Here is an 18,720-nt window from a genome sequence, read left to right on the forward strand (position 1 = left end):
TTAAAGAAGGAAGGGCTTTATTTGGCCAGGAGCTTCGGCAAGACTCACATCTCCAAAAACCGAGTACCCTGAGTGAGCAATTCTTGTCCCTTTTAAGGGCTTACAACACTAAGGGGGTCCACATGAGAGGGTCGTGATTGAGCAAGCAGGAGGTACATGACTGGGGGCTGCATGCACTGGTAATCATAATGGAACAGAACAGGACAGGGATTTTTCACAGTGCTTTTCCATACAATGTCTGGAATCTATAGATAACATAACCGGTTAGGTCGGGGGTCAATCTTTAACCAGACCCGGGGCACGGCTCTGGGCTGTCTGCCTGTGGATTTCATTTCTGCCTTTTAGTTTTTACTTTTTCTTTCTTTGGAGGCAGAAATTGGGCATAAGACAGTATGAGGGGTGGTCTCCTCCCTTAAAGGAACTCCCCAAACCTCCATGATTTAGCAGGAGACAAAGAGAAGGGTAATCACCCAGCACCTAGACCCATTTAGATTAAGTAAATTTACTGAGGCTCCAGAGGAAGGTCTTCAGGACTCAGACCTTAATTATAGATTAAAAGTAGTTAATCACTTATGTCTTTAGATGAATGCACACTTAACATGTAGACATATAGCTTAGAAGGTATATAAGCTCTGGAAAACTTTGTAATTTGGAGTTGGTCTGGTGATAACTTCCAGGCCTTGTCCCTGTAATCGGTTGCAGAAATAAAATCTTTCTTTCTCCCCAGTTCATCTGGATCTCGTTATTGGGCCATGAGAAATAGCAGCCCGACCCTCACTCTGGTCTGGGAACAAAATTTGGCAAGCCAGCCAGGAGAGACTGGGATGGTGCTGTGTTCAGCGGCTAGCAGCTTGCAATGAGACAGTCTTCAGGAGGATCCCAGCAGCTGCTGATGAGATTTCCCAAGGACCCTCTTGAAGGCTGTTTCATGCAGAAAATTGCACATCTCTTTCACTACTGGGGAAGAATGGAGATCAGGAGTGGATGCACTCAAAGGGTGAGTTAATTGCGAGCCTATTGTTTTCCTGTCTCAACTTGTTAAGCCATTTGTCCAGTACCGCCAAGGGAAGCAACAGGGCTCATGCATACACCTGCTTTAAATTTTGGTTGACCAGCTTTTGAGTTGGTTTTGAGTCTGTTTTGCCTGAGTGCACTCCCCCTTTTGTTGCCCAAAATTTGTGTCCACTTATCTGTGTATCTGTCTTATACCCTTTGATATCATATAAACATGAAAATGGGAGGTATTGGGTCCATTGCTGCTGAGAAGCCTCTGGGAAGGAAAAAATTTTTTTATGAGCTCAATGGCTAAAAGTCAGCTTAATTAAAAGCTAGCATTCAAGGTGTGTATATGTACATGCGCATATTGTATTTAAAAGGTCTTAATGGGCTGGGCATGGCAGCTCATGCCTGTAATCCCAGCATTTTGGGAGGCCGAGGCAGGCAAATCACGAGGTCAGTAGTTTGAGACCAGCCTGGCCAACATGGTGAAACCCCATCTCTACTAAAAATACAAAAAAATTAGCTGGGTGTGGTGGCAGGTGCCTGTAATCCCAGCTACTCAGGAGGCTGAGGCAGGAGAATCGCTTGAACCCAGGAGGCAGAGGTTGCAGTGAGCCGAGATTGTGCCACTGCCCTCCAGCCCAGGCAACAGTGTGAGACTTTGTCTCAAAAAATAAATAAATAAAAATAAAAGGCCTTCATGTTTGTTTATTTCTCTCCTAGGACCTTGTCTTTTTGAGCAAAGATTTTTCTTCTCGGTTGACTGAATTCTGTTTTCTTCATTAATAGCTATTGCAACAGAAGCTACTCCAGGGTTTTTTTCTTATTTTCTTTTTCTGATGGAGAGTCTCTCTCTGTTGCCCAGGCTGGAGTGCAGTGGTGCGATCTCGGCTCACTGCAAGCTCCTCCTCCTGGGTTCACACCATTCTTCTGCTTCAGCCTCCCAAGCAGCTGGGACTACAGGCGCCCGCCATATTTTTTGTACTTTTTAGTAGAGACAGGGTTTCATCATGTTGGCCAGGATGGTCTTGATCTCCTGACCTTGTGATCCACCCGCCTTGGCCTTCCGAAGTGCTGGGATTATAAGAGTGAGCCACCGCACCTGGCCTACTCTAGGGTTTTTAAGAAAAAGTATAATTTAGACACTTTGTTTGAAAAAATATTTTTTAAGTGCACAGTAAAAGCTGGTCACATGGTCTAGCCTCATAATAAGTCTCCCTTTTGAAAACCCAAGATTAGGTATGGGCTCTGCCCAGAACTCAAAGATCCAGTTAAAAGAGGAAAAACGACATCTTATGAATCTGTAAAATGTGCTTCTGTTGGCATGCCTAATGCATCTATATATTTGTGTCTTGTGTACACCATGTTTCACTACTGAAAATATATAAAGGAGTTCTAATTAATTGGCTCAAAGAAAAATAAAAGCACTTAAATGCTTTAACAGAACAAAGGAAAGACTAGTCAAATGCTTTTTCAAGTTTATGTGACTTAAGTAACATCTTTAATAAATAAGCTAGCTTTAAAAATTATTGGTAAAGTAATATTAGAAATGTCTTAGGAGCTGCCAGTGTACATTTTTGTTTGCATTTATTGATCAAGCAATTTCATACTTATCTCTGCTAAATACTAGAAGGTGTCAAAATTTGGCATAGAGGCTACAAAAGTATGACTCAGCCCAATACAGAATGATCTTTGCTTGTGTAATTTTTAATAAATGAAACATTAATATTGGTTTAATGAAGAAGCTACATCTTGAATTATTTAGTTAAATACCCAAACTTCTAATCTTGTGTTAGGCAGTCTAGTCCATAGACATGAAGGAAGTTTGTTCTGCAAAAGGACTGTTATCATCTTTGTTTCAAAGCTAAACTCTAAGTTAATGAACAAGAATAGCTTGGAGGTTAGAAGCAAGATGGAGTCAGTTAGGTCAGATCGTTTTCACTGTCTCAGTTATAATTTTTTTATTATACTTTAAGTTTTAGGGTACATGTGCACAACGTGCAGGTTAGTTACATATGTATACATGTGCCATGTTGGTGCTCAGTTATAATTTTGCAATGGCAGTTTCATAACTTTAAATGAAGACTATCACAGTTTTCATGAATAATCTAGGTAAATGATTAAAATAAATAATTAGATAAATGTAATGGGATAAATACTCATAAACAAACTTGTCATAATTTAGAATCTAAAGTTATATTAAACAACAGAGATTTTATTATTTGGTTATTTTCCAGTAAAAATATATTGTAGGAGCTACTCGGAAGGCTTAGGCAGGAGAATGATGTGAACCCGGGAGGCAGAGCTTGTAGTGAGTGGAGATCACGCCACTGCACTCCAGTCTGGGCAACAGAGTGAGACTCTGTCTCAAAAAAAAAAAAAAAAAAAAAAAAAAAAAAAAAATATATATATATATATATATATATATATATATATATATATGGTAGGAAAACATTCTAAAAATTGTGTCCTTTGTAAAGGGTAACTAATTTTTGTCTAATTCAAAACTTATTTAAAGGTTATATATAAAACAAGGTATTAAAGAAAAGAGAATTTATGTAAGAAAAGATCTCATATGGTAAATTGTTGCCATAAAGTAAAATAACTGGTTGTTTAAAGAAAGGGCTATTTAGGACAAGTCAGAAAGTTGAGGCATGTCAGAGATTGCCTGTGTAAGTCAAGAAAGAATTTATGAAAGGGAATTTACACAAGAAATGTTGTACAATTTAAAGGTGATTAGACCTCCTAAATACTTTATTTAAAAAATTGCCTCTATGACTCTTAGCTGTAAAACTTGCCTGCTTTACAGCTAGGTACGGCCTAGGACACATGGAGTTAGATGCTGGAATAAGTCAGACTTACCTGCACTTCTGTCTAGGTTCTAGGCTCCACACTTAGTAGATAATTAAAATCCCAAACTTAGCAAGGTTTTCACAAAAGTAAAGTTTGCCAAGAGTTAAGAGTGTAACATGTATTTAAGACTGTTAAAGAAACAGTTCACATGCAAGCAGTGTAAGGAAAGTAAAATATACTTTTGGTAAAAAGATTATAACGAGGCATGAGAATGTGGATTTTTGCCTAAATTTAAAGGTTAAAGGATTGTTTTAAGTTGAACAAAATAAAGACGAAGGTTTAAGCAAGTTGTGGAAGGTTGATTGTAAAGGAAATTCTTTGTGTAAACATATTGGCTGAAGTTAAAGGTGTATCATCCAGTGTTTTTCTCAATTAAGCATTAAAATAAAAGCACACTGGGTTTCTCTTAGAGCACTAACCTGCTCTTTAACAAAAATTGTAAAGGCTTTTTTTTTTTTTTTTTTTGAGACGTAGTCTCACTCTGTTGCCCAGGCTGGAGATCAGTGGTGCGATCTTGGCTCACTGCAAGCTCCACCTCCTGAGTTCACGCCATTCTCCTGCCTCAGCCTCCCAAGTAGCTGGGACTACAGGTGCCTGCCACCATGCCTGGCTAATCTTTTGTATTTTTAGTAAAGGGTTATAAAAGGTCTATAAAAATATTACCTTATGGTCAAACATTAAAATTGGGTAAATATGTCTATAAGGTTTTACTAAGAATTGGGTTTAACATTAATAGTACACTAATGTAAAGGTGTAATTGGCTTATTTGGTATAAGAATTATGCAGGAAGAATTGTCAAATATGAAATGGTGTTTGGCTTTCTTTGGGCTATATTTGTATGAATATGTTATTGGTATGTGTTCCAAAGTTATGGGAGACTCCTATATTTCTAATATATCTTAGTGTACATTATCAATAATAATTATAATAGTTATGTTAAGTTATTGTGTACCACAGAGGTAACAGATTTCCTTGTCAATTGTATCTTTAACTATGGCTACCCTAAAACTTTTTGTCATCCATAAACAATTGTTCTCCTCTTTTGGTCCTCTTTAGAAGGTGGTTTTATAATCAGCTATAAAGCTCTAACAGGTGCTCTTGAATGCAGGTTTCTGATAACTTTGGAGATTGTGACATCAGAACTGAGGAAAAATGTTCAGGACTTTTTTTTTTTTTCTCTTGAGACAAGAGTCTTGCTCTGTCGCCCAGGCTGGAGTACAGTGGTGTGATCTCAGCTCACTGCAACCTCCACCTCCAGGTTCAAGAAATTCTCCTGCATCAGCCTCCCGAGCAGCTAGGACTACGGGCATGTGCCACCATGCCTGGTGATTTTTTTGTATTTTTAGTTGAGATGGGATTTCACCATGGTAGCCAGGCTGGTCTCAAACTCCTGACCTCAGGCAATCCGCCCACCTCAGCCTCCCAAAGTGCTGGGATTACAGGTGTGAGCCACCGTGCCAGGCCTCAGGACTCTTGAAGAGCTAAACTGCTCATTAATATCAAGCAGGACAGGAATTAACTGCATTAACTGAACTAATAGGAGACTGAAGTGATCTTTTGACTTTTTGCTTAAAATATTGCTAATTCTTTGTTTTGTTTTTCAGAGTCAAGGAAACTTTTCTTTTGAACTATTGACAGCTTTTAACAATTTAGTATACTCCCATGAACAAAATTTGAGCATATTTGTTTCTCTCTAGCTGATTTTCTCCAGAATTTGAAAACTATTTGTAAGTATTCTTAATCTATGGCAATATAGTTATTTGGATAAGTGGAATAAAAATCTGATTTCTTTTGTAACAGGTCACAATTGAAAAAACTGATCATTTTACCAAGGCTTTGACTGGAATGGTGTGCTTTCCTTTAAGAAATCAAACTTGACTTATGGAGCCAACGGAACCCCAAGTTGTCTTGGAACCTCAAGAGGAGAGAAATTCACCCAACACATAGGTATTTGATGGTACAAATCCATGACTGGGCTTGGCTTTAAAGTCTTATCTGAGATTCCTGCTGTGGAACAAAGTTCCATCAAAGCCAGTTTAAAAGGTCTATGTGAAAAATAATTTTTCTTGCTGCAGTTTATGCAAATAATCTGGCCAGCTGGGCATAGTGGCTCATGCCAGTAATCTCAGCACTTCGGGAGGCCGAGGTGGGCAGATCACGAGGTCAGGAGATCAAGACCATCCTGCCCAACATGGTGAAACCCCTTCTATACTAAAAATACAAAAATTAGCTGGGTGTGGTAGTACGTGCCTGTAATCCCAGCTACTCGGGAGGCTGAGGCACAAGAATTGCTTGAACCTGGGAGGTGGAGGTTGCAGTGAGCCAAGATTGTGCCACCGCACTACAGCATAGTGACAGACTGAGACTCTGTCTCAAACAAAACAAACAAACAAATAATCTGGCCAAGTATAATAAAGCAAATTGGTCCTATCATGATTTGTCTCTAGTAAAAATGGGAAACTGGAGACAGAAAAGTTATGTTTCAAAAACTATAGTACACCTATTGTTAAATTCTAGTCTTGCCTGATGTTTTTCAGTTTTTATTACTTTCTACAGTTTGGATGAAGTTCTAATTTTTCTGGCTACAGGTCTCCAAAATAATGTTTTCAATTTTTTCCTCTTTAGTTTCCTTTTTCCCCATTCTTTCAATTGGAAATCACTGAAACTTAAGCTGTGCTTACTTAAAGCCCTGTGAACTAAACAACTTAAATTTCAGAAGAAAACAGCAGCAACCTATTTATATGTTGCTGTTGCATACTATTACGCTGTTGCAAACTATTTACATGTGTTGCTGTTGCATACTAGTATGTTTCAACAGGTGCTGCCTCTAAGCCCTGAAGCAGAGAGTGCTACCAAGAACAAATCGACCTCTTCCACTCCAGTGCTGTGTTTGGTGCCCCATAACGACGACCCTCTCTCAGCAGGAAGTAGCCAGAAAGGTTATGATGTCCCATCTCCCTACAATCCTCGTGATAAATAAATATACAAGCATGATAGATATCATGTGCAAATTGACAGTGGAGATTGTGGCAGGCGGATCTCACTAAAGCAGGCTTCTGTAACAACTGTTTCAGTATTGACTGAGTGGTTAAGTTAAATATTAAAAGCCAGTGGCCCTTATACAAAGGCTGGGATGGAACAAAAGCCCACCAAGAGTTTTGCGTAGGCCTTTCCTGGGCCTTAAAGCATGACAAAATAATGAAGGAATTCTTAACAGGACCCATTTAGGATTAAACAAGTTTTATCATGAGTCTGAAGAAGCTTTCCAGGCCTCCACATACAAGTTTATTGCAGGTCTGAAGGAACTCCCTAAACCTCCATGATTTAGCAGGAGACAAGATAAGGGTAACCACCCCAGCACCTGGACCCATTTAGATTAAGTAAATTTACTGATGCTCCGGAGGAAGATCCTCAGGACTCAGACCTTAATTATAGATTAAAAGTAGTGAATCACTTATGTCTTTAGATGAATGCACACTTACACGTAGACATATAGCTTAAAAGGTATATAAGCTCTGGAAAATGTTGTAATTTGGAGTTGGTCTGGCAATAACTTCCAGGCCTTCCCCCTGTAACTGGTTACAGAAATAAAAACTCTCTCCCCAATTCATCTGCATCTCATTATTGGGGCACAAGAAATAGCAGCCCAACCCTCAGTTTTGTCCAGGAACACTAGAATTACCAGCGTGAGCCACAGTAGCTTGCCTGTAAATGCTCTTTATCAAGTTGAGGAAGGTCCCCTCAATTCCCATTTTCTGAATTTTTTAAATAATAAATTTAAAAACTGTGTGTTAAACTTGTGATGTTAAATTTTGTCAGGTATTTTTTCTGCACTGATTTATATGATTATATGATTTTTCTTCTTTTTCCTTTTAATGTGGTTGATCATTTTGATTGTTTTTCAAATAATGAACCATCTATGTTTCCTTACAATAAATTCTATTTGGTTATGGTGAATTAATTCTTTTTATGAAATGCTGAATTCTATTTGCTAATATTTTATTAAGAATGTCTGCACCTACATCAAGTAGAGTTTTATGGATGGAAATTAAAAGAAAAGAAGTTTGGGGCTGAACATGGTGGCCCCTGCTGTAACTGCCCAACGGGTTCACCTTGCCCACTGCCTAGACAGAACCGGTTTATCAAGACAGGGGAATTGCAAAACAAAAAGAGTAACTCATGCAGAGCTGGCTGCGCAGGAGTCAGGAGTTTTATTATTACTCAAATCAGTCTCCCTGTGCATTCAAGGACCAGAGTTTTTAAGGATAATTTGGTTGGTGGAGTGCCAGTGAGTCGGGAGCACTGATTGGTCAGGTTGAAGATGAACTCATAGGGAATCTAAGCTGTCCTCTTGTGCTGAGTCAATTCCTGGGTCGGGGCCACCAGAACAGATGAGCCAGTTTATCGATCTGGGTGATGCCAGCTGATCCATCCAGCGCAGGGTCTGCTGAATATCTCAAGCACTGATCTTAGGTTTAACTATAGTGATGTTATCCCCAGGAGCAATTTGGGAAGGCTCAGAATCTTGCAGCCTCCAGCCGCATTACTCCTAAACCATAATTTCTAATCTTGTGGCTAATTTGTTAGTCCTGCAAAGGCAGTCTAGTCTCCAGGCAAGAAGGGGGTTTGTTTTGGGAAAGGGCTGTTAGTTAGCATTATTAACTAGTTCCCTCAACCATAAACATCTTGTAACCAAGAGTGCCCAACCCCCTGGGAATATAACCCAGCAGATTTGGCTTTTTCTGGCCTTTATTCAAGATGGAGTCACTCTGGTTAGGTTGCCTGACACAAGTGCACAGAGACTGATATGCTCAAAGGGAAGATGATGTGAAGACACATGAGAAGACAGTCACGTAATGCCAAGGTTTACCACAAGCATCTGCACCAAGAATTCGATGGATGGGCCTTTAGGAACTCCCAACCAATTTCCATTAGCCTCCCTCCCAAACCCTTCTCAGAATAAACATATAATTTTAAAAACAGTTTTGAGGTTCAGTACCCAGTATCTTTTTTCCAGTCCTATTGCCTCCTTTATAGCCGTATTTTATATATATATAATTTTTTTTTTTTTTTTGAGACAGAGTCTCACTCTGTCACCCAGGCTGGAGTGCAGTGGCACGATCTCGGCTCACTGCAACCTCTGCCTCCTGGGTTTAAGCAATTCTCCTGCCTCAGCCTCCCGAGTAGCTGGGAATACAGGCACAAGCCGCCACACCCGGCTAATTTAGTTTCACCATGTTGCCCAGGCTGGTCTGGAACTCCTGAGCTGAGGCAATCCACCCTCCTTGGCCTCCCAAAGTGCTGGGATTATAGGCGCGAGCCACCGCGCCTGGCCCAGTCCTATTATAGTTTTTAGCTGCCCCAAGAGGACAGGTTTACATTGTAGAAATGCAATCCACTTCAAATTGAACCACAAGCATAACTTTTAAAAAATGTTCTGTAGCTGACAGCCTTTGCATAAACTGTGTCAGTGAGAACATTTTGTCAGTGGGAGAGATCTGATTTCACCAACCGGCATCTTGCCTTTGCCTTTAGCCTTCAAGCTACCTTTAATTATTCCTGGACTTCTGGGCCAAGCTAACTTTGGGAGGCATTTAGGTTATAGGTTAAATGATAATGGCCCTTCCCCAAACTTTACGCTAAATGACCACCAGGCTAAGAAAATAGAGGAGGCTGAATTCTGCTAAGGATTGCCAGCCATTATTCCTGAGGTCACAAAATATGCAACTTCTCCAATTACTCCTGCAGACACCATCACTATTGTAGAACCTAAGATTAGCCTTTTGAGATATCTTTTCAGGTTTTTTTGCATGTCTGACACCTGGCTCCACCTGGACCTACCAACTGCTCCTGCGGCCCCACCTGGAAGCAAATCCGCGCAAGAAGACAGCTTCAACTCCCTGTGATTTCATCTCCAACCCAACCAATCAGCAGCAAGCATCCATTGCCTAGCCACCTCTGCTCCTACCCCTAAACTGTCTTTGAAACTACTCCTCAGAGACTGATTTGAGTAATTATAAAACTCCAGTCTTCCTTTCAGCCAGCTCTGCATGAATTAAACTGTTTCCCCATTGCAATTCCCCTGCCTTCATAAATTGGCTGGCTCTATCTGGGCAGCAGGCAAAAAGAACCCATTGGGGGATTACATAGCCACTCCTCATCGGAGAAATTTCTACTGGCTCTTCTTCCAGCCTCAACTCTCTTTGGCTAATCTTTCTCTATATGTAGCCTTCACTTCTTTTCATCTTTCTCTCTTCTTTCCTCTCCTAGGAGCAAAACAAAATTTCTCCTGGGCCGCACAGTTTGGCAATTATCTTTTGTTGCCTTGGCTGCAGCTACTATGCCATCAGCTCCCAACTCCTAACTTCAATGAACCAAGGAGGTATTTTTCTTAAACAAAGACCACTCCAACCCTGAAGATTGGAATTTCGCCACTGCCTGTAAGGATAACAAGCTTTAATCTGGTTTCTACATGTGGTTTTTGTTTATTTTGTTCCTGTGATTATAAACTGTAATGAAAAAAGAAAATGTTACTGTAATACTTGATATCATGTATTTATCCATGTATCCAACCTTCTTTCCATCCTATCCATCAATCCATCTTATATTCTGGATACTTTTTTTTTTTTTAAGAGACATGGTCTCACTATATTGTCCAGGCTGGTCTCAAACTTCTAGGCTCAATCAATCATCCCACCTTGGTCTCCCAAAGAGCTGGATTACAGGCATAGGTCACTGTGCCAGCATCTGGATACATTTCAAAGAAAATTGTATACATTGGTACACCTTCCCCTAAACACTTTAATATGAATATCATTAACTAGAGGTGACATTTTATTTATATTTTTTCCTTTTGAAGTCATATTAGCGTATTATAAAATGCACAATTTTTTTGTGCGTGTGTGAGATGGGGTCTTACTCTGTCACCCAGGCTGGAGTGCAGTGGCACCATCTTGGCTCACTGCAACCTCCACCTCCTGGGTTCAAGCGATTCTCATGCCTTAGCCTCCCGAGTAGTTAAGACCACAAGCAAGTGCCACCACACCCAGCTAATTTTTGTATTTTTGTAGAAATGGGGTTTCACTATGTTGGCCAGGCTGGTCTCAAACCCCCGACCTCAAGTAATCTGCCCACCTCGGCCTCCCAAAGTGCTGGGATTACAGGTGTGAGCCACCTTGCGCCCTGGGCTGTAGTGTTATTTTTGTGGCAAAAAAATTGAAACCCTAAAATTCTGACTGCAGTGGAAGGGTAAGTGTATTTCAAGCCCTAGTGATACAGACCAACTTGGAAGCTTCAGACAGGAAAAGTTTGCTAGATAGTTATTTATTTTTAACTAAGCATGTACTTTTATGTATCTCCCATATGGCATGGAACACCTGCTCACTGCAGCCTGGAGCTCCTGGGCTCAAGTGATCCTCCCACCTCAGCCTTCTGAGTAGCTTGGACAGCAGGCGCGTGTCACCACATCAGTTAATTTTTGTTATTTTTTGTAGAGAGGGGGTCTCAATATGTTGCCCAGGCATTATGGATTTTATGCATTCGGGACCATCCCATGCTTAAAGCATGACAGAACCCGGCGGCATATTTTTCTCTGCCGCAGCTTTCAGTGCAGGGGCACCTCACAGGCAGGGCGGGGTCAAGGCTCTGTCCAGACAATGGCTGCAGAGTAAAAAGCACTTCCATTTATGGGGGTCAAGGGCGAGGGGAGGGAGAAAGGAGCAGGGAAAGAGGAGAAGTGGCCACATGTACTTTGATTTGTTTTTTGCTTTTTGTTACATGTACTTTTGAAGCAGTATTTAGAAGTAGCCTCTCCTACAGCCCCTGCTGTAGCTTGTCTCCTAGCTGTGAGGTGAGTTATTCAGTACCCTCTAACGTAAAAATGACCTTCAGACAGACAGACAGACACACACACACACACACACACACACACAGAGGAAAACAGCTCTGTCATCCACTTTTTCTTCCTTTCCCGTCCCCAGACCCTCGATTCTCTCTTTAAAATGACTGCTGTGAAGATAACGTAACACAGAGTAATACTAATGACAAATTATCAAAAAAGAAAAAAAAAATAAAAATCTTTATTAGTGTTTTTTAAAATGACGTAAAAGACTATGGGAAAAAATGCCAACAATAGTTATGTATAACTTTTTTGTTCATATTTCCAAAACGTTTATAACATACATAACTTTAAAAGAAAAATAATTTAAAAAATACATATCTGAAAATGAAACCCCGCTGTTTGCCAACGACCAGCTGGCTTAATCTGACTTCGCAGATGTAGCAGTGTTGGAAAACGTCGGTTCTTTTGCTGAGGGAAGGAAGAGATGGGAGGGGTAGAAAGGGCGGTGGTTATTCCCTTTAGTATTTCGATCCGGTCACACAACCTAAATCCAACATCTGCATCAAATGTCTCCTTTCCGAAATACTCTCCCTAAAATGACAGAGAACCTGGCCAGGCGGACAGAACGGCCCCTGCGCATTTGCAGGGGTCCTGGTGGGCTTGCCGGGCAGAGGGCGTGCGGGTCTCAGCAAGCTGCCGGGTCCGCCCAGGCCCCGCCCCATGCCCATTCAGGCCCCGCCCCCGACCCGCAGGCCCCGCCCCCGACCCGCCCCGTCCGCCTCCGTCACGTGATGGGGCGCCGGGTCCAGCCTGTTGCTGATGCTGCCGTGCGGTACTTGTCATGGAGCTGGCACTGCGGCGCTCTCCCGTCCCGCGGTGGTTGCTGCTGCTGCCGCTGCTGCTGGGCCTGAACGCAGGTAGGTTCAAGCAAGAGGCGCACCAGCTGCCATGCCTCTTTTTTCTCCAGGCGTGAGAGTTTGTTACTGGGTTTGTGCTTTTGAAAACATGTCTCTTTTCCCCGGTTCTTACCTTGTGTAATTATATTGCTTTTGAATCTCACTCTTTTTTTTTTTTTTCCTTAAAAAATTCAAAGTGCTTTTTTTGTCCTTTTCTGGCTCTGGGTGGTCTGAGTGCTTCCGTTCTCTCCTACGCCTAGATAGAAGCTGTGTGCAGAAATGTATGATTTGGGGAAACTGCTGGTCAATGAGGTTTCCCCGATTCAAAGGCCATGATTGGCTGCTAAATGAGGATATAAGGTCGTTTTATTTTAAGCTGAAATCTGCGGTCAAAAGTACCCTTACATCCTACCACGAATGGGACATTTCATTGAGATAAGGCCCTTTCTTTTCTTGATCAAAACAAACAAGATAACATCTTCCCCCACAGCGATCTTTTTTGGCAAAAAACAGATTTGTGTTTAATAGGATGACTTGCAAATTGATTTTCAGCAAAACCTCTCCTAGTCTGAAGCAAGCACTGAGAATTGGAACTGGCCACAAGCTTGCCTTGTGACCTTAGGCAAGTTGTTGAACAGTTTTGTTTTCCTTTTCTAAAATGGGGATCATCTGGCCCTTAGGCGAGTGTCTGGGAGATTTTGTAAAATAAGTAGCTCTGCCAATTTTACCAGTAGTCACTGCCAGGCAAGGGAGAAGTGCCTGGGGTTAGGTCAAAAGGTACCTGCGCCTTATCTGTCATTCTCAAGGGAGCGCAGCCTTATCTGTTATTGTCAAGGACAATATAATCGTGTGTTACTTGTATATAGAACCTTATAGCTAAGTCTGTAATGTTTTAGTCATCTGTTTTGCTCCTCAGGACACTTTCTGGTTTTCTTAATCTTCATTGTTGTTTTGTTTTGAGTCAGGGTCTCACTATGTTGCCCAGGCTGGTCTGGAACTGCCTGACTCAAGTGATCTTCCTACTTCAGCATCCCAAGTAGCCCGGACTGCAGACACAGGCCACCACCCTGGCTCTTTCTTATTTACAAGACGTTGTCTCATTGTCTTCCTCTCTACTCCTGTCTCTTTAGCTGTTGGGACCAGTGTTCTTTTACTGACCAATGGGGCTTGAAATTTGAGAAGGGAGGAAATAGAAGGCAGAAAACTCCAGTCACCGAGGGGATCCCCCCCATCATCTTTTAACAACAGCCCCTCTACTTTTTTTTTTCCCAGAGTGGTTTTGGAGGAAAAAAAAAAAGATGCTATAACTTGGAAATTGTTACGTTAGCAAAAAGTGACAAAGAAAATGTATTTAGCCTACTCTTTTCTAAAACATATTTTGTGGATGCTAGAAAAGTTAAGTAAGGAAAATTGGAGTTAGGGGATTATAGGATACGTATATTAAACACACATACACAGATATATATCGTTCAGTTTAAAAAAATCATCTACATGAGTTAGGAAAATTGCCCTTTTTCATATTTGTTGTAGCTCTTTCCTTGCTGTTTGCCTTTTTATTTTTGATTTACAGAAATTTTGTTGTATAGAAATATAACAAGTTTCTGTTCTCACCTCCATCATTGTTTCTTTTGTACAGTCTCTGGGGTTTGCTTAGATTCTTTCCTCATCCAGACATTAGAAATATATTTAACTATATTTTTGTATTTTTTTAATGTTTAAAGTTTAAAATTTAATTGCTTGATCCTCATGGAACTTATTTCGTTTATAGTGTTGAGAGGACCTAAATTTCTCTTTTTTTCTCCAAAAAAGGTAATTGTTGCTCCATTACTGTATATTGAATATTCTCAGCCCCACTAATTTGTGATGCCTCTTCACTCATGTTTTTTGTTTGTTTGGTTGGTTGGTTTTTTGTTTTTTTGAGATAGGATCTCCCTCTGTCACCTAGGCTGGAGTGCACTGGTGTGATCACAGCTCACTGCAGCCTCAACCTACTGGGCTCAAGCGATTCTCCTACCTCTGTCTCCTGAGTAGCTGGGACCACAGGCATATGCCACAATGCCCAGCTAATTTTTGCATTTTTTGTAGAGATGGGGTGTTGCTATGTTGCTTAGACTGGTTTTGAACTCCTATGCACAAGCTATCAGCCTGTCTTGGCCTTCCAAAGTGTTGGGATTACAGGAGTGAGCCACCAAGCCTGGTGTCTTACTCATGTATTAAATACGATATAAAAACCAGTATATTGCATTCTGAGATTTTTACTTTTTTACTCAAAATATAAATCTCTCTTGTTTTTACAGAATTATAAAAGTATTTCCTGTAATCCCAGCACTTTGGTAGGCCTAGGCGGGCAGATCACCTGAGGTCAGGAGTGCGAGACCAGCCTGACCAACATGGAGAAACCCCATCTCTACTAAAAATACAAAATTAGCCAGGCGTGGTGGTGCATGCCTGTAATCCTAGCTACTTGGAAGGCTGAGGCAGGAGAATCGCTTGAACCCGGAAGGCAGAGGTTGCGGTGAGCCGAGATTGCGCCATTGCATTCCAGCCTGGGCAACAAGAGCGAGACTTCGTATCAAAAAAAAAAAAAAAAAAAAAAAAGTGTTTCATATTTATTGTTAAAAATCCAAACATTACAGAAAAGTGTAGAGGAAAAAGTGAAAGCCCCTGGCCTCCTATGCCGCTGTTAAGTTTGGTTTCTTTTTTCATAGCCGAGGTTTTTTCCTTATTCCTGCAATGTACTGGGGTGGCTAAATTACCAAACTATAAAACAAATCATCTCTAGCCTAGCATGGCTGTCTCTACCAGGCTTGGAATTTACCTGTACATTAGGCACTCTTCTGGAGAGTGAAATTGAACTTCTGTTTCAGGAGCTGTCATTGACTGGCCCACAGAGGAGGGCAAGGAAGTATGGGATTATGTGACGGTCCGCAAGGATGCCTACATGTTCTGGTGGCTCTATTATGCCACCAACTCCTGCAAGAACTTCTCAGAACTGCCCCTGGTCATGTGGCTTCAGGTAAAGTAGCTTCCCAGCCTGGCCTGAGGTCAAAGCCAAGTCTCCTCTGTGTGGCTCTTTGCTTGCTTTTTGGGCTGATGTCTCAGCAGTGAAGGGCGGATTTGGTCCAGCAGTGTGACCTGGGGGTTCGGCGTGCTTCTGAGGTAGGCTGAGGCAATGGTATAGCCAAGGAGGCTAAATCAGAGGGCGAGGGGGTTCTAGCCTTTTGCCAGAGTCTCTTTATATTTCCAGACGGTCACAAGAAGGCTCACTGAAAACTCCTGATGATACATTTGAATACATAGTGATAGAAAGTGTTTTGAGGCCGGGCACAGTGGCTCATGTCTGTAATCCCAGAACTTTGGGAGGCCGAGGTGGGTGGATCATACGAGGCCAGGAGTTCGAGACCAGGCTGGCCGACATAGTGAAACGCTGTCTCTACTAAAAATATTTAATACAAAAATTATCCAGGCATGGTAGCACATACCTATAATCCCAGCTACTCAGATGGTTGAGGCATGAGAATTGCTTGGACCCGGGAGGCGGAGGTAGCAGTGAGCTGAGATCGTGCCACTGCGCTCCAGCCTGGGCGACAGAGCAAGACCCTATCTCAAAAGAAAAAAGAAAAGAAAGTGTTATGGAAGGTTCCAAAGCAAAGACCTGAGGTAGCCTGACCCTCCCTTCCTCTCCATACAATCCTTTCCTGAACCCTAACTTCTTACCCCCAGAAAACCTGATCTTTTGAAGGGACTGCTACAAGCCTTCTGCACCTTCGTGTGACTGTTGCGCCTTCCCCCTTTCCCTGAGTGTGTTTGCATTTTAACCTTGAGCTCTGATTGTAGGATGGAAGGCAGGGAGCTGGTTGAAAGATTTGTAGGGACAGGCAGAGGCTCTTTTCTGGCATTTCTGAAATATCTGTCCAGAGATGGCCCACCCCCACCCGGAAGACCACCCACCAGGGAGGAATTAAGGAACATGGTCTTGCCTCTGGAAAATGTAGGCATGGCCCAGCTGGAACCCTGGGCCCCTCATCAGTAAATAGGGACCCTGGTGCTCACCTCCATAGGATGCTACTGGGACGTCTTCCAACAATGCTGGTATTTATAAGCAGCCTCCCACCACCTGGGTTTTGCCTCCCAGGATGGTCGATGCAGACTTTCTGGTGAGATAGAGCGAAAATGAGCAGTTTTCAGGGAGGGGCCTTTCTCTTTTGGAATTATCACTTGTGCCACCTCTGAGGGCTAGAGCTGAGGCTCAGCCCCAGGTGCGGTTATGATAATGCAGAAAAAGAACCCTTGTATGTCAGCCTGGGGAGCCCTGTTCACCTCCGGTGGCTGGAGACAAAGGTGCGGCACAATTGGCAGGGAGAGCCAGGCCGTGGACAAGCTCAGGCCTGCCGTCAGGGGCCTCGGGTTTTCAGTGCCTACCTGCCACTTAGAGCCATGGCAAGATACTTCCTCCTCTGGGCCTTGGCTGTCTAATCTGGGAGATTTTGGTGGTTTTCAAACTTTTTGTTCATCAGCAGAACTTTTCTTTTTTTTTTTTACCCCCAAATGAAAGCTTACAAAGGGGAGACAAAGCAGACAAAAGCACAAGTGCTGAGGCTGAGGCTTCTCCTTTGAAGTTTATCAACTGAAGAGAATAAATTGCTCTTCACTTACCCAGAGACCCAAGAGAGAAGAAGAAAGATTATGCTTACAGAAGAAATAACTAATTTAGATGAAAAGGAGATCTATTTTAGCAGCCTACTGAGGACATGGTGCTGACTTCTCTCGGGGGAATCTTTGAGAATCGAAGTCATGTCTTCTGAGTGGGTTAGCAAACTATGTTAGGGACACTTTCAAGTCTTCGAAGCGTTTCACTTGGTCCACTGACACACTGACTGTGTCTCAGAGTTTCTGGATAGCCCTGGGCCATGCTAGCACCCTATCCCAAAGTTCTAGACAAAAAAGAGGTTTTACAATAGGATATATTCACGTAGAACAGAGGCTTCCTCCATCCAGCATCTCATTGCCTTTTGAGGAGAGGGGAATGAGGAGAGAGGAGAGGGAGAGGTCATCTTCTGCTGTCTCCCTGGCATACCAGAAGCAGAGGAGAACTGAGATTTCTCCCACAAAGACCCAACCCCTAGGATTTCCAGCTTTTCTCCTTTTGCTTTGATCCTACCTCATCCTAATAAGTCCATTAGGAAAAAGGAACCCAGCTTTCATTGGAGGGTAGATCCCTGGCTTTAATTTATTGCATATTGCATTATAAATATTTTTCAATGTTGCCACATCATTTTTCGTAGTTCATGATTCTAAGTGGCAGTGTAGCATTCCATGCAGTAGATGTGGTATGGTTGCCTAACCTGTTCCCCTATTTGGGGGACGTTTGAGTTGCACCCTTACTTCTGTTATTTTTAATAGGACTGCGGTTAACATCTTCATCTGGTTTGTGAACTTTTTACTGCTTAGGAAATCTTAAGATACAAAGGGCATATGATCAGGGGGATGTATAGCCTTCCAATTTTATCAGAGTTAGGTTGGTCCAGGTTCAAAACATTAGTGTTGTAAAGTCTTTCCCTTTTGGGGCCCTCTTGCCGTTGCTAGTTACCCTTTAGCCCTGACTCTATCTTGTCTTTTTTTTTTTTTTCTTTAGATTTCCCTACACAAATTGCCCTGGCTTTTGTTTTGCCCAAGGTATTCCCTTTCATCTTTTTTTTCTTTTTCTTTTTTGAGATGAGGTCTCGCTCTGTCACCCAGGCTGGAGTGCAGTGGCGCAGTCTCGGCTCACTGAAACCTCCACTTTTTGGGTTCAAGTGATTCTCGTGCCTCAGCCCCCCGAGTAGCTGGGACTACAGGCGCACGCACCACACCCGGCTAATTTCCTGTTCTTAGTAGACGCAAGGTTTCACCATGTTGGCCAGGGAGGACTTGAACTCCTCTCGAACTCCTGACTTCAAGTGATCTGCCTGCCTTGGCCTCCCAAAGTGCTGGGATTACAGGCGTGAGCCACCGCACCCGGTCCCCATTTCGTCTTTTCATATCTCCCTTTCCTACCCATCCTGCTAGTGCACAGAGAGGCCATATCCTTTTATTCTAGGTCCTCTGCCCTTTCCCTCGCCTCAGCTGACAGGGCCCTTCTCATAGACTCCC

At 42.3% G+C, this 18,720-nt stretch overlaps 1 protein-coding gene and 1 long non-coding RNA gene across 6 annotated transcripts in view, besides 1 other annotated feature; both read left to right on the forward strand.

Annotated features, from left to right (window-relative positions):
• LOC105371836 (uncharacterized) overlaps window positions 1-10,381 on the forward strand; it is a 14,860-nt gene extending 4,479 nt beyond the window's left edge. The window contains exons 2-5 of one of the 3 annotated variants that reach the window (XR_001752945.3): window positions 728-997; window positions 5,653-5,799; window positions 6,671-6,791; window positions 10,123-10,311. This is a non-coding gene — a long non-coding RNA (uncharacterized LOC105371836). Of the gene's footprint in view, window positions 1-727; window positions 998-5,652; window positions 5,800-6,670; window positions 7,814-10,122 lie in introns of those variants that run through there. The other 2 variants (XR_934875.4, XR_934874.4) reach the window with 2 other exon arrangements.
• Window positions 12,388-12,447: a silencer, noted in NCBI's record as "silent region_8743". NCBI's record gives its function as "represses an Ori minimal core promoter by ATAC-STARR-seq in GM12878 lymphoblastoid cells {active_cell/tissue: GM12878}" and the evidence as "EXISTENCE:reporter gene assay evidence [ECO:0000049][PMID:35858748]".
• The window catches only part of SCPEP1 (serine carboxypeptidase 1), a 28,638-nt gene continuing 22,422 nt past the window's right edge, over window positions 12,505-18,720 (forward strand). For all 3 annotated transcript variants that reach the window (NM_021626.3, XM_005257557.4, XM_047436509.1), the window contains exons 1-2: window positions 12,505-12,609; window positions 15,456-15,604. In NM_021626.3, coding sequence (NP_067639.1) covers window positions 12,534-12,609; window positions 15,456-15,604 — 225 coding nt within the window. In that variant the 5' untranslated portion in view covers window positions 12,505-12,533. The remainder of the gene's footprint in view (window positions 12,610-15,455; window positions 15,605-18,720) is intronic.

Source organism: Homo sapiens, chromosome 17, assembly GCF_000001405.40.
Source record: "Homo sapiens chromosome 17, GRCh38.p14 Primary Assembly".
Classification (NCBI taxonomy): Eukaryota; Metazoa; Chordata; class Mammalia; order Primates; family Hominidae; genus Homo; species Homo sapiens.